The 25951-nt window shown below is 36.2% G+C and overlaps 1 protein-coding gene across 8 annotated transcripts in view; it reads right to left on the minus strand.

Annotated features, from left to right (window-relative positions):
• UACA (uveal autoantigen with coiled-coil domains and ankyrin repeats) overlaps window positions 1517-25951 on the minus strand; it is a 124350-nt gene continuing 99915 nt past the window's right edge. For 5 of the 8 annotated variants that reach the window (XM_017022395.2, NM_018003.4, NM_001008224.3 and 2 more), the window contains 9 exons: window positions 25062-25169; window positions 24071-24103; window positions 23456-23554; window positions 18928-18964; window positions 18002-18054; window positions 13687-16425; window positions 11625-11777; window positions 7114-7179; window positions 1517-4090 (listed from right to left, as the gene is read on the minus strand). In XM_017022395.2, the coding sequence (XP_016877884.1) occupies window positions 4019-4090; window positions 7114-7179; window positions 11625-11777; window positions 13687-16425; window positions 18002-18054; window positions 18928-18964; window positions 23456-23554; window positions 24071-24103; window positions 25062-25169 (3360 nt within the window). In that variant the 3' untranslated portion in view covers window positions 1517-4018. The remainder of the gene's footprint in view (window positions 4091-7113; window positions 7180-11624; window positions 11778-13686; window positions 16426-18001; window positions 18055-18927; window positions 18965-23455; window positions 23555-24070; window positions 24104-25061; window positions 25170-25951) is intronic. The other 3 variants (XM_017022394.3, XM_005254529.5, XM_011521753.3) reach the window with 1 other exon arrangement.

The following is a 25951-nucleotide window of genomic DNA, read 5'->3' on the forward strand; positions in this document are numbered from 1 at the left end:
CTCGGGAGGCTGAGGCAGGAGAATCACTTGAACCCCGGAGGCGGAGGTTGCGGTGAGACGAGTCCGAACTGCGCCAGCCTACGCAACAAGAGTGAAACTCCTCAAAAAAAAAAAAAAAAAAAAAAAAAAAAAAAAAAAGGCCTATTAAGTACAATTTGATGCCAAATATCAATTATAAGGGGCATTGTTTTTATTGATGTCTCTTCCATTATTTTACTGAATGGAATATATATACATATAAATTAGACTGAAATATATATATATATATGAACTGGAGAAGCAACCCTCACCAGTCTTGCTCTTTTTCATTTACATATGACATTTTTGTAACCTTCTCTTTTTGGTTGAATTAATTCATCATCAATGTTTGTTCATGCAGGCATAAATAATGAAAATGCCTCTAATATATAAGTGATGTCACATGCCCAATTACACTGAACACAAGCACCCTCACTGCCCAGGGAGTCTTGTTGGAATGCCATCGCTGATACAGCTTGATCTTTAAAAAAAAAAAAAAAAAAAAAAAAATCTGTACATTCATTACTCACTTGAGCCCAAAGGTCAATATATTCAGTAATAATCAGAAACCATGCTAAGAAGCAGGTTAATATTTACCTGGAGAGGCTGGTCTAAAGAGTCCTGTTTCAAATAGCTAAGATCAAAACACGGGAAAGAACTGAATTTCCAGCAACAGTCTCAGGTTCAGTTTCCAGTTTAGCGGGGAACAACACTGAATGAAATGACAGTTGAAATGTCTATACTAATTTTCATTTCGTATTTTGTGCACAATCTATTTTATGGTGCAAATTCTGCCTTTACTTCTCCAGTGCTTTTTATCCTCCCTCTGAACTTATTCATAAAACTTAGGGGCCAAGGGTAAGATCTAGGTCAGCCACATCTTTCATGTTCATCACAGGCATTCTCTTTCAACCCGTATTTTGGTGCCAGAGGAGCTACCATTACTTTGGTGCACAGAACCAACAAGAAAAAAGATCGCAAGGTTGCAGAATCCAGTGATGAAAACAGAGGCAATAAGAAGTAACTGTCTTCTACCATGGTGAAGCAGATGTCAAAAGAAGCTTGTAACCACTGCTAGGGTCTGGCACTCCTGCAAGCAGGCACTGATGTATCTAGTCACCATGAACACCAAAAATTAACTAGAAACTCTTCCCTTTTTTACTTTGAAACGAGTCGGTCAAAGACATGAACATTCAGGTAGGGTAACAAGCACATGTGTGAGAATAGTTTTTAGGTCCTTCCTTGTCAGAGGAAAGCTGATAACACTGGAGAAAAAAAATGCTCATGTTCTAAAGCTACAAGATTTTTAAAGCAGCAATGAGCCAATGCATTTATAAGAAGAGTAGAAAATTGTAAACTATAAAATTTGGTTAGGGTCAAGAGAAAAGGTTCAACTAAAAAGCCATAAAAAAGACAAAGCTAAATTCATCTGGAATTCTAGAACAATGCTGATACAGTTAAGTGATTATAGTCACCATAATATTAAAGATTTAAGATGTTCAATGCATGAATATTTGATTTTATTTCAAAAGACAATTATTTATAACACTGACCCTCTATCAAAAAGAATATGCTTTTCTGATGGGGAAGTGACAAAAAAAAAAAACTACACAGAACAAGAGTAATAAAGTTCTCAAGTAAGGATTGCACTCCAATAGGAATTGAGTGATTCTCTCAGAGAGCACTCATTACATCTTAGACAACGTCACTCTTCTTTCCTCTTGGCCATATGTTCAGGTCTCATAGTCTTTCTGAACACAGAATGGCAGTGGCCAGCATTGTCCATTATCTATGTTCCGCTTGTTTACTAATTAAAAAGCTTTGGTCTTCAGTGTTGTAAACGCAATTTCTGCCTTCGATATCAAAAGGTGAGTGAATGAGACAAGATTAGTTGAAGGAAGTACTTGATATTTTACTCCAGATAGCTGAATGAAAATGGGTATTCTCCCTTGTACTTTGGAGTCCATCGTTTCCTACTCCCAATGCTCTCACAGACAGTAAATAAAATAGTTTAACTCGCAAATCTTTTACAAGGATGTTCAAAACAATATTCTAGAGAAAACTTTATTGATGGTTGAAAACAAAATAAAATACACATAAGGTTCCCTTCCCATCTCTAATATGGAAAATAAAACACTTAATATGAATACTCAGTTTTAAACTTTGCTCTAAGTTTTATTTTATTTTATTTTGAGATGGAGTCTTGCTATTGCCCAAGCTGGAGTGCAGTGGCGAGATCTTGGCTCACTGCAACCTCCGCCTCCCAGGTTCAAGCGATTCTCCTGTCTCAGCCTCCCGAGTACCTGGGACTACAGGCACCTGCCACCATGCAGGGCTAATTTTTGTATTTTTAGTAGAGATGGGGCTTCACCATATTGGTAAGGCTGGTCTCGAACTTCTGACCTCAGGTGATCTACCTCCCTCAGCCTCCCAAAGTGCTGGGATTACAGGCATGAGCCACCACCCCCGGCAACTTTTTTAATTTATATTTTATTTTTTATTGAAATAGGTGGCCCAAAACTTGTGAAACAGAACTCATGCTGAAGGACGACATTAATCATAATAATTAAAGAGACAGATATTGCTTATGTAAACCGTATAAAGAATTAAAAACAAATCCAATTCTGACTTTCAATGTTGTTTCAACACCGAAAAAATATGATGGCTTATTCTTTGGTATGAGAAGTCATTTTGATGGTATTTTTACCCTATTAAACAAAAATGGGATTTAAAAATCTGGTTCGGGATGTTCAAAGATAATTGCTAAGGCAAATTTTGCAATTTGAGAAAACCTAACTGTAATGATCCATTTATTCAGTTATTTGTTAATACTCAAATTAGTAATTTTCACTCTGAATGGTAAATAAAATGTTAATAAAAAATAACAAGACATATAAACTTTCCCTAATGAGATGCAGTTAATAAAAACGGTTGTTTACTTCAGAGTATTTACTATAAACATGTCCACTTATGTTATTTTATTGCTATCTATATACTCTTTCAGTTTACTGTATTACTGTACTTTTCTCTAAAACTTTAAAAATCTGTTATCTAAAATCAATTCTCTAATGCTAATTTTGCAGGAAAACTGTATTTCACATTATTAATCTCATTAATATAACTTTCCTATAAATAAGCATGAAACATTTGGAGGATGCATATATAATGAGTGCTTGGTTACTATAGTAGCGAATGTCAAACTAATTGCTAAAAAAAGTCTAAAGGTTTTCACACTTTGAAAAATCTAGTATATCATCTATCATTATTCTCCAATATTGTGGCAAGAATAGTCACCGCAAGTAAAAATTAAGATACTGTTGTAGAGATTAAGGCAATTTTATTATAAATTCCTGATATATTCCACCCCTGCCTGTTCTTAATCTAAATGTAATTTAGCACTGCAAACCATTTATGAAAATAAATTTATTTTAAAAGGCATAAAAGTTATTAGTGTAAAAAGAAAAAATATCTATACCTACAAAAAAGGCCAAAGACACTAATGAAGTTACCTCAGTAAAGATACTGTAACATGTAACTTGGCCAGCCAAGTTACAACACATTCCTCACAACTGTATTATGTCTCAAGGTTCTGAGGATCTGAAAGGTCTTTTGATCCACCTAAAAGTGGCCACCAACCAAATTAATTTCTCTGAAAGACATCTTTAAGCAATTATTTCAGCCTAACCTCGCTTCATATGGACTCACTCAGATGGCTCATGTTTTATTAGGGACTTGAAGGTTTAAAAATATGTAGTCAATCCAGGGCAAAGTTATGTTGTTTGCCTATTTGTAAAATTAACACATACAGAAAATAAGATTCAAACTGATATTGAAAAAGACTAACATATTCATCTAATTTTAAAAAAAAACCTACCAATAGAACAAAATATATTTTATTTTAATTATACCAGCACAGTAAGGCCCAGAAAGACCATGGAGTTGCACAAAGAATGTTCAGCACCAGCAAGATAAAACAGATACTGGCAGTCAGTGCTAACGGCTAGCACACAAGCCCCTGCCGCATTTGTATGATCTGGAGCAGAGCCTCCTGAACATCTTCATCCATGTGACCCTTCGGAGAAAGAAGAAAGAGGAGCATTATTTTATGTCATCTTTGTTTACATAAGAATTCTAAAGATAAAGCTTTTACAGAGCATAACTAGTCATTGATTCATCAAATGCTAAATCCTCATCATTGTGATTTCTAAAGGAATTACTGGAAAAGGGAGTACAGCCCTATCATGAAAATAAGATCAATTAATAAGGAGTGCACGGCCGGGCGTGGTGGCTCACGCCTGCAATCCCAGCACTTTGGGAGGCTGAGGTGGGTGGATCATTTGAGGTCAGGAGTTCGAGACCAGCCTGGCCAACATGGCGAAACCCCATCTCTGGTAAAAATATAAAAATTAGACGGGTGTAATCCCAGCTACTCGGGAGGCTGAGACAGGAGAATCGCTGGAACCTGGGAGGCAGAGGTTGCAGCGAACCAAGATTGTGGCACTGCACTCCAGCCTGGGTGACATGGCGAGACCCCATCTGAAAAAACAAAAAGACTAGTGCACAACAGCTGCTCTAACTTCCATTACCAGAAAACAAATGGATAAACCTCCCTCTTTCTCTTTTTTAATAACAGCCTTGGATGATAGGGGCAGCATAAGTTATAAATGAACAAAGTAAACTACAAGGAAATCTGTTGTTGTTGCTGCTGAGGTTTTTTGTTTGTTTGTTTAGAAAACTAACTGATGGCTGAACATGGTGGCTCACACCTGCAATCCCAGCATTTTGGGAGGCCAAGGTGGGAGGATCACTTGAGGCCAGGAGTTTAAGACCAGCCTAGACAATACAGTGGAGACTGTCGCAAAAACTTAAAAAAAAAAAAAAAAAATTAGCTGGGTGTGGTGGCATGTGCCTGTAGTCCCAGCTACTTGGGAGGTTGAGGGAGGATGATCACTTGAGCCCAGGAGTTGAGGCTGTATGAGCTATGATTGTGCCACAGCACTCCAGCCTGGATGGCAGAGCAAGAATCTGTCTCCTAAAAAAATTTAAAATTTAAGTAATTGATTTAAAAAACCCATATTTATGTTTTTACGTAAATAAGATTATATAACACATACTATTTTGTAACTTGTTTTTTTATGTAGTGTCACAGAAATCTTTCCCTTGAGCTACCCAATTATTTTAAATTATTGTATAATATCCACTGCATGGACATATTACATTTCTTTACCCATTCCCCTAACGATGGACATTTAAGGTATTTCCAATCTTAATGGAAAGATTACTAGAGAAGAAATTGCTGGGTCAAAAAGCAGTCTCAATTTTTAATTCTGTTAAGTACTACAAAATTTCCCTCTACAGAGATTGTAACAATCTGTACACTACCATCAATGGAGTGAAAATGCCCATTTCCCATACACTCTGGCTAACACGATAGACTATAATCTTGTGTAATATTGCCAGTCCCACAGGTGAAAAATGGTATGTTCTTATTCATTTGCATCTCCCCCATTACTGATGAAACCAAGTATCTTTTTTACATGCATGTTAGCCATTTATATTTTTAAAAAATACTTTAAACTTAAAATGGTGGCACGAGTTGATTAAATGCAACTCAATATGGTGGGCTTATTAAAATACCGCACCCCCTCCCAACACACACATTTTTTTTTTCCTGGAGTACTTAAATAGGTTTCAGCACAACACTTCCTATTAATATGAAAAGTTTTGCTTCCAAAATCTGTTTCTATAACAGCAGGATGTTTACATTTCAAACATTAGCCATAGTTGACTGAACTGAATTTCTTAGTTAACTTTATGATGCCAGAAGGCAAGACTATTTCTGATGTCAATTGCTTTTGTTATGTTTCATTAGGACACAGTAGAAAATAATTTCAAATTCCGGAAGTGCATATTATACAAAGTGGAAAGGCTTGTTAGTTTGCTGTATTTTTCATTAGGAGCAACCTCTTCCTCTCATGGCCAATACTAGTGAGTTTCTCAGCCTCTCTAATACAGATTTTCTGCTATTTCCCCACTTGAACTTCCTATTCACTGTCCCTCAATAATCTTCTCTAATAATTGCAATAAACTTTAAGATTCTAGTTTATCTCTGATTTGCTCAAAAGAGAGTAGCTAAGATCCCTTGTTCTATCATATCATTCATTCTTTTTCATTAGTTTCCCCTCCATTTCCTATAGAAGAGGCAGGTCTATTGATTTTAAGAATTTGATATCATAAAGTATCTTTCTTTTTATTATTTTATCTAGTTCTCTTTTTAAAATTGTTCTTTTTTTGAAGCTTTCTCTCAACATCCATCTTTCCCTTCTTCATTTTTTGTTTGTTTTTTTTTTTTTTTTTTTTTTTTTTTGCTTGTTTTTACAGTGTGGCCTAACATACTTCAAATCCAAATAATTCCCAGGATCTCTGTCATTCTAAAATTTGTTTCTTTTAGTACATTTTCTTCCTGAAAAAAAATCTATTCTGAGAATTTTGAAGATGCTGCTCACGGGGTTTCTACAGGAAATTAAGCATAGTATCCTTTATATGTTAGTAATTTCTTAGTATGATTTTAACAATAACTTTCTCAGTACACCCCTAAAAAAGGGAATTCATACTGTTATTCCTTAATTAATCCTTGGCTTTACCAAGCCAAGTTAAGGCTTGGTAAAACAGATCATTTTTAATTACTACAATCCTATACACATAACACCCTGCTTGTCACTTTTGTACTTTTCTAGTATTCAAAGCCATTCCCACTCTCCTCTTAGATGACAGCCACACGTGGATGTCAAGGCATTATCTCCAGCTAGCAACACCATTAACGTGTGCTACCATCACATGTTACCAAACTGTCTATAAACTGAGTGACAAGCAGATGGAGACGACACTAAATTTAAGATGTTGTGTTGCCATATAGCTTTGTAAATTTTTCTGGGAGATCCACAAACAATGATTAAAAGAAACATAATTATTTTTAAATAAGCATAGGGGGTGCAGCTACTTTAAACATCAATTACTTTCACATAAATTTATTTGAAAATAAAAAATTATTATCTCTAAAGCAATATTCTTTCCAAAGGAGAAGTAGTTCTTTACCTGTGCAGCACTAAGAAGGTGTGTCCGATAAATTGCAATTACTTCTTGGTGCTGTCTGTCAGCATCCTAGAAATGTGGAAAGATGGACAGATGTGACTATCAGCGTTCACATTTCCAAACTTTGGACAATGCTCAGGCTTCATGCTACAAAACTATTATTATTATTAAGGCGATCCTGCTACTTCTAACAACAAACTACCTTGGACCTACCAGATGCAGAATTTCAAAACGTAACAATATAAACTTCTGTAAAGAATGTGTGGCTAATGACAGTAATGCTACTTTCCCTAAGCAACATCAAATTATTGCTTTAGTTCATATCTAGTGCCATGAACTTCTGAAGACACTTATCACATGTCTGGATTATTGCAAACGCTTCCCATCCTGTCTTACTATCTCCACACTATATTCCTTACCATGCCTCTGAGACTAAGGTACCTATTTCCTCACATCACTTTTGGCTCAAAAACCTTGAGTGACACTTCTTTACATACATGAGAGAATCCAAATTCATCAGTTTGGTTCTCAATGACTTCCACAGTTTGGCTTCAAACATTAACTTTCAAATACAGCAGTCCCCTCTTATTGGCAGTTTTGCGATGAGCAGTTTCACTTTCTCTATTTCTGTTGCCCATGGTATAATACAATATTTTGAGATATAGAGAGAGACCACATTCACATAACTTTTATTACAACATATTGTTATAATTGTTCTATTTTATTATGTTGTTATTAATCTCTTACTGTGCCCAATTTATAAATTACTCTTTATCACAGGTATGTATATCTGGGGGGAAAACATAGCTTATATAGGGTTCATTCAGCAGGTCCTATCCATGGTTTCAGGCATCCACTGGGGATCTTGGAACATACCCTCAGTGGATAAGAGAGGGACTACTCTACAGGCAGGGCTTTTACTGCCCTCTGGCCATGCCACTTGTATTCCATCTCCACGCTTCTTTTACACTATTTTCTTTAGATGGAAGAGCCTCTACTTTCCTTTCACCTACCAAAATAGCATCTACGTTACAAGTTCAAGCCAGGTACTCCCTTCTTTAAAAACTAGCTTCTACCACACCACTAATCTTTCCTTCCTGGAAACCCCTATCACTTAGAATCTGCATTCTCAGTTCTACATTTGACATCTCTCATCTTGTGATTTTTACTTTTTATGAATCTGTATTTTGCCTCTCTAACTACCCAGAACTCCTTGGGGACAGGAATGGCATACTTTCTTTATCCCACTTAGCACAGGGTCATGAACATAATAAACAATAAACAAATATTTCCAATTATTAAAGGGACACTATACTCTTTGGATAAGATCCAAATCCACAATTTGCCATCCTTAATCTGTAGGCCTACAGTGTTAAAAAATAAACACTAAAAAAGAAACAAAACAAAAAACCTTTCTTCTATTAAAAAATAACTCAAACAATTCTATGAAATAGGGAAACATCAGCAACAATTTACATGTGACTGGGCCGTTTTACTTAGCATTTCAATGTGTATTAGTGCATAATTAAAAGCATAGTCCCAGATACTCAGGAAGCTGAGGCAGTAGGATCACTTGAGCCCAGGAGATCAGCCTATAGCAAGACCCCATTGGAGACAAGCCTAAGCCACATAGAAGACCCCATCTTTTGACAAAATTCAACAACTTTTCATGCTAAAAACTCTCAATAAATTAGGTATTGATGGGACGTATCTCAAAATAATAAGAGCTATCTATGACAAACCCACAGCCAATATCATACTGAATGGGCAAAAACTGGAAGCATTCCCTTTGAAAACTGGCACAAGACAGGGATGCCCTCTCTCGCCACTCCTATTCAACATAGTATTGGAAGTTCTGGCCAGGGCAATCAGGCAGGAGAAGGAAATAAAAGGTATTCAATTAGGAAAAGAGGAAGTCAAATTGTCCCTGTTTGCAGATGACATCATTGTATATCTAGAAAACCCCATCATCTCAGCCCAAAATCTTCTTAAGCTGATAAGCAACTTGAGCAAAGTCTCAGGGTACAAAATCAATGTGCAAAAATCACAAGCATTCTTATACACCAATAACAGACAAACAGAGAGCCAAATCATGAGTGAACTCCCATTCACGATTGCTTCAAAGAGAATAAAATACCTAGGAATCCAACTTACAAGAGATGTGAAGGACCTCTTCATGGCAAACTACAAACCACTGCTCAATGAAATAAAAGAGGATACAAACAAATGGGAGAACATTCCATGCTCATGGGTAGGAAGAATCAATGTCATGAAAATGGCTATACTGCCCAAGGTAATTTATAGATTCAATGCCATCCCCATCAAGCTACCAATGACTTTCTTCACAGAATTGGAAAAAACTACTTTAAAGTTCATATGGAACCAAAAAAGAGCCTGCATCGCCAAGTCAATCCTAAGTCAAAAGAACAAAGCTGGAGGCATCATGCTACCTAACTTCAAACTATACTACAAGGCTACAGTAACCAAAACAGCATGCTACTGGTACCAAAACAGAGATACAGACCAATGGAACAGAACAGAGCCCTCAGAAATAATGCCACATATCTACAACTATCTGATCTTTGACAAACCTGACAAAAACAAGAAATGGGGAAACCATTCCCTATTTAATAAATGGTGCTGGGAAAACTGGCTAGCCATACGCAGAAAGCTGAAACTGGATCCCTTCCTTACACCTTATACAAAAATTAATTCAAGATGGATTAAAGACTTAAATGTTATACCTAAAACCATAAAAACCCTAGAAGAAAACCTAGGCAATACCATTCAGGACATAGGCATGGGCAAGGACTTCATGTCTAAAACACCAAAAGCAATGGCAACAAAAGCCAAAATTGACAAATGGGATCTAATTAAACTAAAGAGCTTCTGCACAGCAAAAGAAACTACCATCAGAGTGAACAGGCAACCTACAGAATGGGAGAACATTTTTGCAATCCACTCATCTGACAAAGGGCTAATATCCAGAATCTACAATGAACTCAAACACATTTACAAGAAAAAAACAACCCCATCAACAAGTGGGCGAAGGATATGAACAGACACTTCTCAAAAGAAGACATTTATGCAGCCAAAAGACACATGAAAAAATGCTCATCATCACTGGCCGTCAGAGAAATGCAAATCAAAACCACAGTGAGATACCATCTCACACCAGTTAGAATGGCAATCATTAAAAAGTCAGGAAACAACAGGTGCTGGAGAGGATGTGGAGAAATAGGAACACTTTTACACTGTTGGTGGGACTGTAAACTAGTTCAACTATTGTGGAAGTCAGTGTGGCGATTCCTCAGGGATCTCAAAGTAGAAATACCATTTGACCCAGCCATCCCATTACTGGGTATATACCCAAAGGATTATAGATCATGCTGCTATAAAGACACATGCTGCTATAAAGACACATATGTTTATTGCGGCACTGTTCACAATAGCAAGGACTTGGAACCAACCCAAATGTCCAACAATGATAGACTGGATTAAGAAAATGTGGCACATATACACCATGGAATACTATGCAGTGATAAAAAAGGATGAGTTCATGTCCTTTGTAGGGACATGGATGAAGCTGGAAACCATCATTCTCAGCAAACTATCGCAACGACAAAAAACCAAACACTGCATGTTCTCACTCATAGGTGGGAACTGAACAGTGAGAACACATGGACACAGGAAGGGGAACATCACACACTGGGGCCTGTTGTGGGGTGGGGGGAGGGGGGAGGGATAGCATTAGGTGATATATCTAATGTTAAATGACGAGTTAATGGGTGCAGCACACCAACATGGTCCATGTATACATATGTAACAAACCTGCACGTTGTGCACATGTACCCTAGAACTTAAAGTATAATAAAAATAATAATAAATGTAAACAAGTAATCAGTTATTATTCTATTTTCTTGATGAGAAAACCAAGAGTTAAAGGGAATGTTCCTTGCCACTTCCTTGTAAGTGGCAGGACTTAGACCAGACCTTCCAACATTAGCTTCTAAATCCAGGCACTTATCCTTCTATATAAGGTATAAAACCATAGGAATGCCTCTTTATTCACAAAGATAAAAGATTATTTTAAAACCTCCTTTAGTTTAGTGGACCAATATTTTAGAGAGCACCCTGCAATGAGAAAGATGCTGGATTTGGAGTCAGCCAGTTCCAGGTTTATACCCCAGCTGAATGACCCCAGGCATCAAATATGTTATTCTTTGTTTCCTTAAGAATTAAATGGAGGGAATAAATCTGCTTTGTGAGATCATGATGAAGATAAAGTTTATAGATAAAGTACGTAAAATGTTTAATATGGTGCCTGGTGTATAGTAGGCATCAAATAAGTATTATTACACCACCAGTATAGGTAACTTTTCGCATATAAAAATAATTATATTCTTGGATCCGAACATAGCTACAGAGCACTTTAATTTCTAAATGAGCCTTACAAACTAACTACAGGGAGCCAGCACATATTCCTGCAAAGCCCCGTGTGCCTGGTTACTCACGGCCAGCTGTTGCTCCAGAGATTTCACTTGGTGCTGCAGAGTGTCAATCAGCTGGCTCTGCCTCTTGGTGGGGTTCCCACTTGTGTAGGTGAGTTGGGAAAGGCCATTGAGTGCCTGTTTTAATCTTTCCACATCATTAAGCAGTTCAGTTATCTTTAAAAAAATGTTGTAGGAGAAATATATTATTCACTTATCATGTACAATGAACATCTTTGTACAGAAATCATTCCTTTTTGGAGACAGAAGCTTTATCTTTATACACCAGAAAATTGAGGTATGAATATTGCCAAGACTGTTACCAAGGATGTATACAATATGTAATTTATAATTAAATCCCTCTCCAGAAATTATTTACAAAAGCAATACCAAATTAAGAATAAATATTACATATATCCTAAGATGTGAGTATAAACATAGTCTTACTTTTAGCTAATATATAAGCATCTACGAAGGCACATGAACTATCTTCCAGGTAACATATGGAACACAGGAAGGGAAGGGGGATTCCCAGCAACAAAGTGTGAAAAGTAAAAGGGTGTGGCCCGTGTAAGTCTAGGATTAACATATGTTCCTTTTTCCTTTCAAGAGTTGTATTATTTAAGACCACTTTGTTGTAGAGAGAAAAAAAACAAGGAGGCTTGTTTATAGGAATAGGAAGTGCCTAGAAACATAGCATTTTTCCACCCTGCTTTAAAGTCAGACAGAGTCAACTTGTATGAGCTTGGCTAATTTACTTTTCTGAGCCTTAGATTCCACATTGGTGAAAGGTGGACAATCTTTCAGAGTTAAGAAAATCAGGTTGGGCACAGTGGCTCACACCTATAGTCCCAACACTTTGGGAGGCTAAGGCAGGAAGATTGTTTAAACTCAGGAATTCAAGACCAGCCTGGGCAATAGAGCAAGATACCATCTCCTCCCCCACAAAATTTTTTATTGAAAAATAATAATAGAAAAAAAACAAAGAAAATGAAATGCAATTACATGCACCCGCTCAATAAATGGCAACAAGTAGATATTAATAATTAACTCTTATATATTACTATATATATTCATAGGTACCTTCTGAACAAGCTTAGAGCATTTAAATTCTCAATCACAGAGATGGTGTGCCAGAGGACAGTATGTACAAGTACTTTCCACTGGGGAGGGCAGTCTGTGTCTGTGTTTACTCCACTGTATCCCCAGCACATGACATGCAGAAGGCATTTAATCATTACATGTTGAATGGATAAAACTGCAGCCAATCTTTATATGTCATATCCATAGTAAAAACTTTATGCAACATCAGTGTCAAAAATATTGTTGAGTACCTATTCTGTAAATTGTACCATGAGAATTAAAGCTAAGATGGAAAGTTAAGTTATAAACCCTGCTCATAAAAACTGATTGGGAAGATCAACTACATAATTCTAACAAGGTAATATAAATGTTTTAAATGGATGGCAAAGCCACAGTAAAACATCCACCTTAGAGGAGGAACTGTTTACTATAGACTAGATTGGACAGTGAGGGCTTTAAGAAGGAGGATAACATGTTAATGAATGTATAGGATTCAACTCAGTAGAAAGGAGGGAAAGGACATTCTGGGTGAGGGGATGTAGACTTTCTAGTCTGTAGAAAGACATGAGCAACAGAACATAAAATGAATTGGAGGGCTCAGTTTACTACTATGGGTGAGTACCGAGATCAACTCTAGATGCTCCCCAGTGTTCTTGGTTTCTTGCAGCCCAGAAAGAGAGCTTCCCCACCACCCTCTTCCCCATCTTTCATATGCCACAAACCCACTGGCTTTTGACTCTTCATGTATGAGACAAGTGAGCCTTAAGTCTCCCCATCGTTCCTGAATTCTTGGCTAGAACAGCTAAAGAAACAGAAGGAAAAATGCTTTTGACTTTTGTGTTACTTCACTTTTTTTTTCAATTCGGAATTTTTGCACGCAAGTTGCTAAACTGGAAAGGGTCACTTTGTTAATACCTGTGTCTACTTTCCTGTGAGATTCTGTGGTAAAGAGCACTGCTCTGGGGTTTCCAACACATAGCCGTGCAGACTACTTTGTACCTACCTTATTATCTTTTGCTTCTATTTGTTTAGCAGATTCTTGTATTCTTCTTTGTAACTCTGTGATTGTTGTTAAGGACTTATCACATCGTTCCTTCTGATCCTTAATTTCTTGCTCAATGCTGAAATGCAGTAATTCCTTCTCATCTTTTGCAGATATTTCCTTCTTTTTGGCATGCAAAACTTCCTCACATACTTCCTCATACTTTCTATTCAGATTGGCCAATTTTTCATTTAAGCTAGAAATCTGTGTCTCCAAATCACTTTTTGTTGCTTTATATTTAGACAAGTCAACTACCTCTCTAGTCTCTAATTTTTTTAATGCTTGTTTAGTATTCTGAACCTCCGACTGAAGTTTGGAGACTTCTTCCATTTTGTTTTGGCTTTCTTCTTCCTTTTCTCTCAAGCTGGCTTTTATGATTCCAACTTCTTTCTCAAATGCTTCTTTAATCTGCAAATGCTCTGCCAGGGGTACAGAAGAGTTCTTTTGATTCTCCAACAATTGATGCAGTTTGGTCACTGTCTGCTGCTCTTTCTCGTAACACCTTTGCATACTCTTCAGTTCTTCCTTTAGATTTTCAATTGTGCCATTAAGAGATTTTTTCAGAGCCTCAACCTGTTCCAATGGAACATGTTGTTTTTGCAAAAGATTTTGCACTGCAAGTATCTCAGAAGTCTGTTTGGCATTTTCTTCTACTAGCTTCTCTTTCACATTCTTTACTTCCGTGTATTTCTGTGACAAGTCTTTTAACTGTTTGTTTAGCTCGTCTGTTTTTCTGCTTAATGCTCTTTCCATTTCATGAGACTTCTCAATGAGAACTGTCTTATCTCTCAAATCTTTCTGAAGGGTAAAAATCTCCTTCTTTAACTTGTCATTCTCTTGCTTGTTTTTCTTGACTTCTTCTTCACTGACACTATACTTTTGTGTCTGCTCTGATAACTGGTCTTTTAGTTCTTTCTCTGTTGCTTTAAATTTTCTCTCGCACTCCTCAAAGCTGACAATTGGGGCGTATTTTACCTTAATGCATTCTTGTATTGTGTCGAGCTCCTTCTTCTGGGCTTTAATTTCGGCATGCAGTGTCACAATCTCTTCTTGGCCTTTTCTGTAGTTGGCCAAGATTTCAGCATTACTATCCTGCACCTTTCTCATGCTCTGACTTAGCGAGCTCATCTTTGCCTCGTGCTCTGCCAGGCTGATGTACTCAGCTTTTATTTGGTTCTGAGTGTTTTCCAGGTTTCTTTTTAATATTTCATTCTTATCTTTTATTTTTACAAATTCCTGATTTATATCTTCAAATTTTTTCTTCACATCTAATAATTCTCTGTTAGTTTTGGCTAACGTGTCATTCAGTGTCATTTTAACCTCTTCATGGGTTTTAACTGGCACATACTGATTACTCATCATCTTCTTCAAGTTAGTGTTTTCAGATGTGAGAGCGTGTATTTTCTCCTGGTCTTCACCACATTTTTTCTTAAGTTCAGACAGCTGTTTCTTAAGTTCAACAATATTGGATTTCAGAGCTATTATCTCTTTTTCATGTTTCTCAGGAGGTACAAACACAGTTTCTAGGCGGCTTACATCCTTACTTAAGCTGTCATTTTCCAGTAGCAATTTCTCCATTTCCAACTTCTTTTCTGTATATTTTTGTGTTACATCTAAAAGCTTTCTATTAAGATCATCAATAATTGCATCATGTGACTTTTTCATGTCTTCACTTACTTTTAAAGGAACATAATGATTTTTCATTTCAATTGTTAAGTTATGTGCTTGCTCCTTGAGGAGCTTATTATCCAAATAAACTTTTTCAATTTCCTTTTGTAGTGTCTGATTTTTCAATGTTAACTCAGTGATCTTCTTCCCAAGTTCTCCTGATTTCTGTTCTAATCTGCTCTTAACCTGTTCATGTTCCTCTGGTTTGACGTGCTGAGCAAGCTTGGCCTTAACATTCTCAAGTTCTCTCTTTAACTGTCTAATTTCACTAAGTGATTTTTCATGTTCTCTTTCCATTTCTACTAATTTTTTTGCTTTCTCATTCACTTCATTTGATAATGAGCTCTTCATGTTTTCAAATTTTTCAGCTGGAATGGAAAGGGCCAACTTCGCTGACAATTCTTTTGCCTGGCCTTCCATCTCTGTGACCTTTCTTCCTTTCTTCTCTCGCTCCATTTCACACATACTAAGTTCCTTCTGTAATCGCTTATTTTCTTCTATCAGCTTGCCTTCATCCCTCTTAAACTCTTCTACTATCATCTCATTTTGTTTGATTTGGTTTCTTAATTTCCCCACTTCTGCTGAAGCACCTTCATATTTTACTTTCAAGTCTTTCAACTGATCCTTCAGTTCCTCGGTTAGTCTGTGATTCCCTGAGGCTGCTTCACTTGTTAAGTGTTCTTTAAGGGCAAGAAAATGGGTCTGCATTTGTTTAACTTTACCTTCTGACTCATACATCCTCTTCTGCACATCTTTTAATGCATCTTCTAATTGCTTTATCTGTTCATCTGAATCCTCCTTGACCCTTTCACATTCTAATGCTAAAGCTTTGCATTCTGCCACTTTGTGTGCCAGTTCATTTTGGAGCTTCAGTCGGTCTTGTTTTGCTGACTCACAGAAAGTTCGCATTGCTTCTAACTCTTTCTTTAAAATTTCATTTTCAGAGTATGACGTTTGACTGGGTAAAGATAGTTCCAGAGGTCTTAACATAGATCTGCTTTGCATATGGGCTGGTATACCTGGGGAAGTACACTGAAAAGAAAAAAAAAAAGACATCAATCACAAAAGCCTAAATGAGACATTTACTATACTTATTTGCCAAACTTAGAGAAAGTTAGCACATCATCAGGAATCAAAGGGTTTTCAGATTAGGCAGTAAGATGGAAAAAAAATCACAATGCTGATTTTTGTGGTAAGGAAACAGTTCTGGATATGATTTCCTTAATACATTCACAACATTTTGAGAGTTCTGTTCACGTAAGTCTATTTCTGGCAGAACAACGGACAATGGCCATGGCTACTGGGTGCTATTTTGTCTTTCTTCCCCCATTCATTAACACCTACCCACACATGAATATCATCAACTTTATCAAAACATATTTATTATTTCTATGTTTTATGGTACATAATGTGCTTAGAACTTTAAATTCTGAAGAAAACCATCATATCCTTGAATAAAAACAAGTACTGCGATTTTAAATTTGCAGATAATTTCATAGAATTATAGATTTAACTAATAAGATTTTTGACTTCTGCGTACCTTCACTGTTAATCCAACAGAATATTCTCTGAATTATAAAAATACCACGAAAAGAAACCCAGCTAGTTATCAGAGTTGTCAAGAGAATGATTGGTCACAGCCAGCACCAGGGAAAGAGAGTCTCCCAATAGACAGAAAACACCTGGAGCTGGTGACAGCGGCTTCCTGATAAGATCTCCGGAGCTGGGTGAGCAGGCTCAAGCATGCGCACTAAGAGGCAAAATGGTGGATGTATGACCTTCTTCAGGGAGCATTTGACTGGTAAAGGAAAATAGCCCCTAGAGAGCAGGTGCACAACCTTAGTAAAGGCACTACACATGTGGCCCCTCCTAAGTGCTGACAGGCCACTATGCATGCAGATAGCCTGCCCCCAAGAGAAGAATCAAGGGAGGAGAAATGCAAACCCCAAAACCAAGCCAGTGCATAAAAATCCCAAGCCAAGGGCTGAACAGGGTACTGGGATCTCTCAAGCCGCCCACTTGGCCTTCTTCCAAGTGTACTTTGCTTCCTTTCGTTCCTGCTCTAACACTTTTTAATAAACTCACTCCTGCCCTAAAACTTCCCTTGGTCTCTCCCTCTGCCTTAAACCTACTTCTGCCCCTCAGCCGAATCCTTTCCTCTGAAGAGGCAAGGATAGAGCTTGCTGCAGACCCCTACAGATTTACTGTTAGTTAAATCTGAACTGCCTTTCCCCTGGATCAAGAGGAAAAAAAAAAACCAAAAAATTATATTTTGGATTATTCATATCTGTCTTCCCCTTTATATGGGCAAATATGAAGAGTTAACTAATCACTGTTAATGAACAGAAACTTAGCATCAAATGCAATGAAACTATAATTCAAATCTCTTATTATAACCACTATCATCAAAAACACTCTAGAGGGCACCAGAAACAGCAATATCTGTTTTTATTAAACTCAAGAAAGCAGGACCAACTTGTCTTTGATAATGAAAACCTCACTCTATGTATATATACTTAATGTACAATGCCGCTTTCTCCTCTCTTTATAAAGGCACAAAAATTTTCTTTAAATGTTTTTTAAAATTAAAAAAAAAAACAGTTATTACCTGTGAGTCTGCCATATACATCTGACCTTGTTTAAGAAGCATATCTTCTTTTCCTAAATAAATGCAAATGAATGACATTTTAACTTCAATATCCATACTAAAGTAGGCTAAACATTAATTTGATGTTATTTCCTTTATTATTCAAATAAAAGAGAAGCAAGAGGTACAACACAAAAGTATCCTCATTCTAAAATACCCATTTTCCCCTTATTATTTCTATAAACAGAAGTACCTACAATCTACTGAACAACAGATACTAGGTTGGTTTTTTTTTTTCTTATTTTTTTCTATGCTCTCTCTCAGCAGAATCACTAAAACTTCAGAAATATTGAGGACTCTTAAACTAGGCTACATGATAATAAAACATATATCTTATAATCAATCAAAACAAAAATGATGATTTAAATTTATAGCATAAATATTACTGTTGTAGGAGAGAATAGTTTAATAGTCACTAGGAAACAAAAACAGATTTTCTAGAGAAACTGTTTAACATTGCAGAATAAAAAAGATTATGTAGGGTCTAAAAATAATTCATAAATGTAATTTTAAAATGCCTACTTGCATTAAGACCGATTTCTCCAAATTAGAAAACTATGTTTATGTTCTTTCCATAAAAAAATGAACCCTAAATATCACAAGACAAATGTCTATGTCTACTAATCAACAAGGCAAATTTGGTAATTCATACAATATACAATTTTAAAATACAGGTAGCTAAGGAGAATCAGAGCTTCAGTAATTATCAGAATATGTTAGAAGTTACAATAGTCATCTTAACGTCTTCCTAGTTCCATGTGCTGATGAAGTTTAGCAGCAGGAATATCTTGTACAGTTATTCCTGTATAGTTAAACAAGTAAGAATAAACATTCTTCTTTACTTGAACTAGGTGAACTGTAATGATAATCCATACTTTTATACTTACGGTTACTGAAATGACTTCCTGATCCTAAATGATCACTCTGAAATCAGAAGCATAAAATATTTTAGGGTGAATGCTGCCTCATTTTGTTAAATTCTGTATCTATTTTAGCTCTAAATCATGCAGTCATTAAAACTACATTTTTGACATTCTTGTTTCTCCAGAGCATTATTCTACTCAAACCCACAAAAAGAAACAACACTAGCAACACTTAGAGAGATCAGCTGGGAATAAAGTACTTCACTAAGCATTTTAATAAAAGCAGCCAAGTGTTTTAAGAAAAAACTTTATTGCTCAAAAGAAAAAAAAAAGTGAGCCCTAAATGAACTGAAACAACTTTCAAAGACTACTGTTTGCTACTGCTTTACCTCAAAAGGAAGGAAGTGGCCACATTCATGTCAATAACTCATTTTACTTTACCACTGTAGGAAGCAGAAACCCTACCTCATTGACTATGAAATATCAACATAACCACTTCTTCCAGAGTTTATAAAATACCAAGTACTTTGAAAGTAAAAAGAGAGAGAGAGCAGGAAATGAAACTGAGGCAGAGACCTACACATAGTAATAAATCCATCAATCCATTAGTTAGGAAATAATAGAGAACTCTAGCTACAGTGAATCAAAATATACTGGGTTGTTCCTTTTCCCAAGTAAGCCAAATACAAAGAATCTAATATATAAATTAAAATACTACACTTCAAGGGTAAGAATAGGCCAGGCACAGTGGCTCACACCTGTAATCCCAGCACTTTGGAAGGCTGAGACAGGCAGATCACTTGAGCCCAGGAGTTCAAGACCAGCCTAGGCAACGTGGTGAGACCTCGTCCTTACAAAAAAATACAAGAACGAGCTGGGTGCGGTGGCTCATGCCTGTAATCCCAGCACTTCGGGAGGCTGAGGCAGGTGGATTGCCTGAGGTCAGGAGTTCAAGACCAGCTTGGCCAACATAGTGAAACCCCGTCTCTACTAAAAATACAAAAAATTAGCTGGGTGTGGTGGCGGGCACCTGTAATCCCAGCTAGTAGGGAGGCTGAGCCAGGAGAACTGCTTGAACCTGGGAGGCGGAGGTTGCAGTGAGCCGAGATCGTGCCATTGCACTCCAGCCTGGGCAACAAGAGTGAAACTTCGTCTCAAAAATAAATAAATAAATAACAACAAACACACACAAAAACATTAGCTGGGCAGGGTAACCCAAGGTACTCAGGAGGCTGAGGTGGGAGGATCACCTGAGCCCGGGGAGGTCAAGGCTACAGTGAGTGGTGATTGCACCACTGCACTCCAGCCTGGGTGACAGAGTGAGATCCTGTCTCAAAAACAAAACAAAACAAAACAAAAAACCCCAGAGTGAAATGAAGAGTAAGGACAGGCAGATGTAGTTCATATTTGTATATTTAGGTGTATCAGTCCTAAAAGCTACATACCAAACTCTGAAGTAGTTGACCATGATAAAACAGTCCACAATTCCATGACTAAATTAATGCCACCTCCATTAATCATTAGTGCCCCCACAGTATGAAAAAATACCTATAAGCTTAGTTAAGCTCTTTGTTCTATGGAATATTTAATACTAAAGTTTACAATAACTACTAAATGGCCTCATACATGTATTAGGGGGTGCTATGCACATAAGGAGTTCAAAAAACTTAATTTGGTCTTATTATCTCTATTACTCAAATGAAAACAAATATAAAAGTTGTAACATAAAATCAGTCTCATTCTAAAATATCCATTTTCCCCATATTTTTATACATACAAGGGAAATAGCTACATGTTAAGTTATTATACATAACTCGTAACAGTAATTCCTTTGACAGTTAAGCTTTTTTAAGCATGTGAGATAATACAGCAGTAGATATTCAATGTTTGTAAATGATGAATTCTTAGTAGTTTGTTGGTTGGTTGGTTGGTTGGTTTTGAGACAGGGTCTCACTCTGTTACTCAAGCTGGAGTGCAGAGGCATGATCTCGGCTCATTGCAGCCTCCACCTCCTGGGTTCAAGTGATTCACCTTCCTCAGCCACCCAAGTAGCTGGGATTATAGGCATGCACCACCTCGCCCAGCTAATTTTTATGTTTTTGGTAGAGACGGGATTTCACCATGTTGCCCAGGCTGGTCTCGAACAACTGAGCTCAAGCGATCCAATTGCCTCGGCCTTCCAAAGTGTTGGGATTACAGGCTGAGACACCACACCCAGGCAAATTCTTAGTAGTTTTTAATGGTTGCTGTTATAAATACTGGGTCACATATAAAGTGGGACCTGTAATTTTCTGTTTGAAAGTAAAAAATCATATCTAGCATAAAATTTCATCACAATGAATACGTAGTGACTGAGGAAAATGTCCCCATCATACTGAATGGGAACAGTTACAAAACAGGATGTACTATATGATCCCACCTGTTGAATGAGTATATAACACACAAATTATGTACAAATGTCTGAAAGGATTTCAGTCAGGTGCTAGCAGAGTTAAGATTATAGGTGTCTTTTGCATCTGCTTTCAGTTTAAATATACTTTCTTATTTTTCTAAAGTAAATAAGTATTTTTATAAGAAAAATAAGTTACTTTTATGACTATTGTAAGTTATAGACTTGACATTTTAGACAAATTGTTTGTCTAAAGCTACAGAAAAACATCTTTTTTTTTCTTCCCCTTGAAACAGAGTCTCACTGTCACCCAGGCTGGAGTGCAGTGGCGTGATCTCACTCATTGCAACCTCCACCTCCCAGATTCAAGCAATTCTCCTGCTTCAGCCTCCTGAGTAGCTGGTATTACAGGCATGTGCCACCACGCCCTGCTAATTTTTGTATTTTTCGTAAAGACGGAGTTTTGCCATGTTGGCCAGGCTGGTTTCAAACTCCTGACCTTAAGTGATCCACCCACCTTGGCCTCCCAAAAGTGCGGGGATTACAGGCGTGAGACACTGCGCCTGGCCTATACCTTACACTTAAGACATGCGAAAGTCTAGCTCCTAGAAGAAATACATACATAAATAGTACCGAAATTATATTATACTTTGATTAATACTTAAAAGGCCCTGTATATACTCCTAAATTTTCTCATTCAAGTAATTCTAAGTGTAAAACTAGCATTGTAGTTAAAAGCACAACAGATGCTTGGGTTCAAGTCCTGACTCTGTCACTTATTATTTGTGAAACCCCTCATGGGTAAACCTCTCTGTGCCTCAACCTCCTTACCTGTGAAGTCAGGTAACAATAAAACTTATCACATAGAGTTGATTTCTTTTTTGAGGTACGACAAGAATGCAAAGTACATGGTCAGTGCTATTAAAATATTAGCAATCACCAGTTTCACAATTAGCCTAAAAAAGAGTCTTCAAATGTGAAGAAGATAGAAGCCACTACAGCTAGATCATTCTTTGGGTTATAAAATGGTGTTTCTGAATAATCTTGAAAATTCAGTCACATAAATATGTACACATATTAAGTGTGTATAATACAATGAATTTTTGCATATGCATACCTTTTGTAATTATACACAACCCAGATTAAGATATAAAACACTTCCAGGACACCAAAAGTTTCTTCACACACCTTACTCAGTAACCCCTCACCAAACGGCGGTCTCTATTCTAATCTCTAACATCATAGATTAGTTTTATCTGCTTTTGAACTTCATAAAAATAGAATCGTGCAGTATGTACTCTTTGTGTCTGACTTATCTCTTGCAACACTGTCTGTGAGATTCATACATGTTTTATATTATTTTTCATAATGCACACATAGTTTTTTATTTACAAAGAAGAATATTATTTTTGCTATGGTCTGAATGTCTGCCAAAATGTGTTGAAACTTAAATTCCCACTGTGGTGGTATTAAGAGGTGGGGCCTTTTGGAAACTGATTAAGTCACGAGGGCTTCACTTAGGCTCCTTTTTGCCCTTTCGCCTTCTGCCAGGTGAGGATGCAGCAAAAGGCCCTCACCAGACATGAACGCCAGAGCCTTGATCTTGGACTTTCCAGCCTCCAGAAATGGGAGAAATAAATTTGTTCTTTATAAATTTTCTTTATTTTGTTACAGCAGCATGAACGGACTAAGGCACTTTTTTAGTGTACTTTGGGGCTGCATTCACCAACAAAGACAAAAGATTCATGCTGAATCAGCTGCCTTCAGTGATGCCCAGTGATGAATCCTTTCTGAGATAATCCTGGACATATCATCATTCATTTATATGAATGCTTTTTATTATCATTATACTCACTGCAAATTTACAGGTAGAAATATGATGTTTTAAAAAGGTAAGGATGGACAATGAAGAGAAACTAGAATGACACTAAATGTCAATTACATGCTAGTCAATTTAAATGATCTCACTTAACCTTTATAACTATGTGGAGAAAGAGACAATCACCCCAGTTTTGCCAAAGAGGCAACAAGTTTGAAGACTTTAAATAAGCAGCCCAAGGTCACACTATAAATAAGAGATTTATAATTCAAATTCAAGTCTGATGCCAAGAGCCTTACCATTACCCATTATGAATTACAGGAAATAATTTATCCTTTCTATACCTCAAAATATTTAAATCTATTTTTCAGAGCCTCAATAGTCCTTAAGCTTTCTTCATGTTGCTTTTCTTTAGCTGCCAAAAGGGACTTCAGCTTTTCTCTCTGAAATGAAACAGAATAAATACAGTAAAATCACCCTGTGCTTGGAATTGGATTAAAAATGTGTTTTAGAAAACGTGAATTGGAATTGCATTGAGGACTGGAGTTAATGAATTCTCCAACCTGGTGAACTTTAACTACTAATAGAGTTGATAATTTCTACAAATATACTAATGAAACATACAATATCTATAAACAAAATCATAAAAAATTCAAATCTCTGTTTTCAATCTTAATGTTTTCAGACATTTTCTTTATGTTTAGAATTTTATATTATTTTCAGGACAAGTTTCACAGAAAGTAAGACTTTCAGAGGCAATAACAACAAAATGCCTACAATAATCTATGCCACTACATTCAAAACATCCTTTTTTAGTCATCTATAGATTTTGAATTTCCCTTTAATAACCAGAAATAGAATCCTGGTCTCTATCTCAATTCAGGACTTAAACCTTTACTACTATATCATCTTCAATTCCTAAAACAATTTTAATGGTTTAAAATAAAATGTCACCCTACCTCGCTTTCCAGATCATCAGCAACCATAACTTCCTAAATTTAAAAAGAACACAAAATATTTTAATTCTTAAAAGCCTATTTTAAAAGGCATGAACTTGGCAAAGATATTTTAAAAAGATTGGCAAATGTCTTTAAGACTAGGGCCAAGGATATGAGAAGAAAATTATGTACAATTCTGTTGTATGAGTTGTCATTCATTCTTCTCACTATCCAAATTCAGAAGCACTTTTGATTCTCTTGAGAACCTATCAACCACCAAGTCCTACTTGTTCTTGGTCCTCATATCTTCTGTCTACTTTTTCCTCTCCAATCCCATGGCCCTAACTATAGTTCAGCCTTTTGCTTTTGCATATGTTCAATTTTAGGAAAATCTAACATAGATAGCAAGATATTAAAGTGATACGGAAAATTAGAATCACAAGGACACAGCTGTACCAATCACGCAGTTACTTCTTACTTTTGAAATGCAAATATCACATAAGATTTCACCTGTGGTAAGTCCTGTACATAATAAAATGTATATTTAAAGAGCAAACTGATGATACTAGATTTCATATATATTCTACTTTCCCTCTAAAAAATGATTTATGGATATTTCTTGTATTTCCAATTTTTTTATACAACAAGGAATATATTACAGGTCACTGTTTCTGTGATTTTGCTCATCACAGTGTTCTCTGGAATGCCCTCTGATTCCCTCTTACTTCCTTCAAAATTCAACAGAAGTACCATCTCCCACAGGAAGTGCCCCCCTCAGAAGCGGCAGCCCACAGTGATCTCTCCTCACTTCCCTGAACATTCTTTACACTGTCCTTACTTGTTAGCTTATGGTACTTTAAATGTAAAATTTCATGTAAAAATCCTGGTCCCCAGTAAGATTTAACTCCTCTGAAGTGCAATGAGCTAATTTTACCTTCTTTAGCACAATCATTAACAATTTGCTATTGATATAGTAAGACAGTTTATTTTTCTATTATGCAGATTTATTTACCTCATTCAGCTGTAACTGTAAACCATTGACTTTATCCAAAAGTATTCTTTGTTCTTGCTGAATTTTTCTCAACCTCTCTTTCAAATCTTCATTTTCAATCTCCAAATCCTTAAATAATAAAGACAACAAGGTGCCAGGCCAATCTTAAAAGAGCAAATTCTTAAAGGAGAAATTTTTAAAAGCAGTTCACTACCATACAGGTACATACATATGTAAAACACTAAGTACAAAAGATACAATAATTTCAATGATATGCCAATGATTTAAAATCTACAGATCATAAATAAAATAGAAAATTACTATCCTATAATAGCTAATAAATACAAGTATATACTACAAGAGGGCAAATCATCCTAATTCCAATAAAGAAAAAATAAAAAGCATCTAGACACAGAAAAGAGCAAAAGAATATGCCATTTTAACTTTTGCTTAAGACCTCCCAAATTTATGAGACTCTTCTAATCCTTTTGTTGAAATAATCATCATTTTCAGTGCTCTGGTAAAAGATAAAGGCTCGAATTTAAGGACATAGTTCATTTTCTTACACTACATAGTAAACTAAGAAAACCCAAATAAAATGCTTTTATTATACTGAAACAGCTATTCAATTTATCATTTAACGGTGTTTCAGTCATAAAATTAATTATGGGTCCTTCCTCTAAAATAATCCTCATAATATTCTTTGGAAACTTTGACCAATATAAAAGCCAAAAAGTACTGTGTGGTTAGTTTAACAAAATTATTTTTCTCAATCAAAATAGAAAATACTTTAAGAAAAAAATCAGATTTAATTTACATTAATGATCATTTTTAATACTATAATTTTCTAAAATAAACACAAATGTATGGTTTACATCACAAAACAAACACATTTAAATCAAACAGTTATA

The sequence above is a fragment of the Homo sapiens genome, chromosome 15, assembly GCF_000001405.40.
Source record: "Homo sapiens chromosome 15, GRCh38.p14 Primary Assembly".
NCBI lineage: Eukaryota > Metazoa > Chordata > Mammalia > Primates > Hominidae > Homo > Homo sapiens.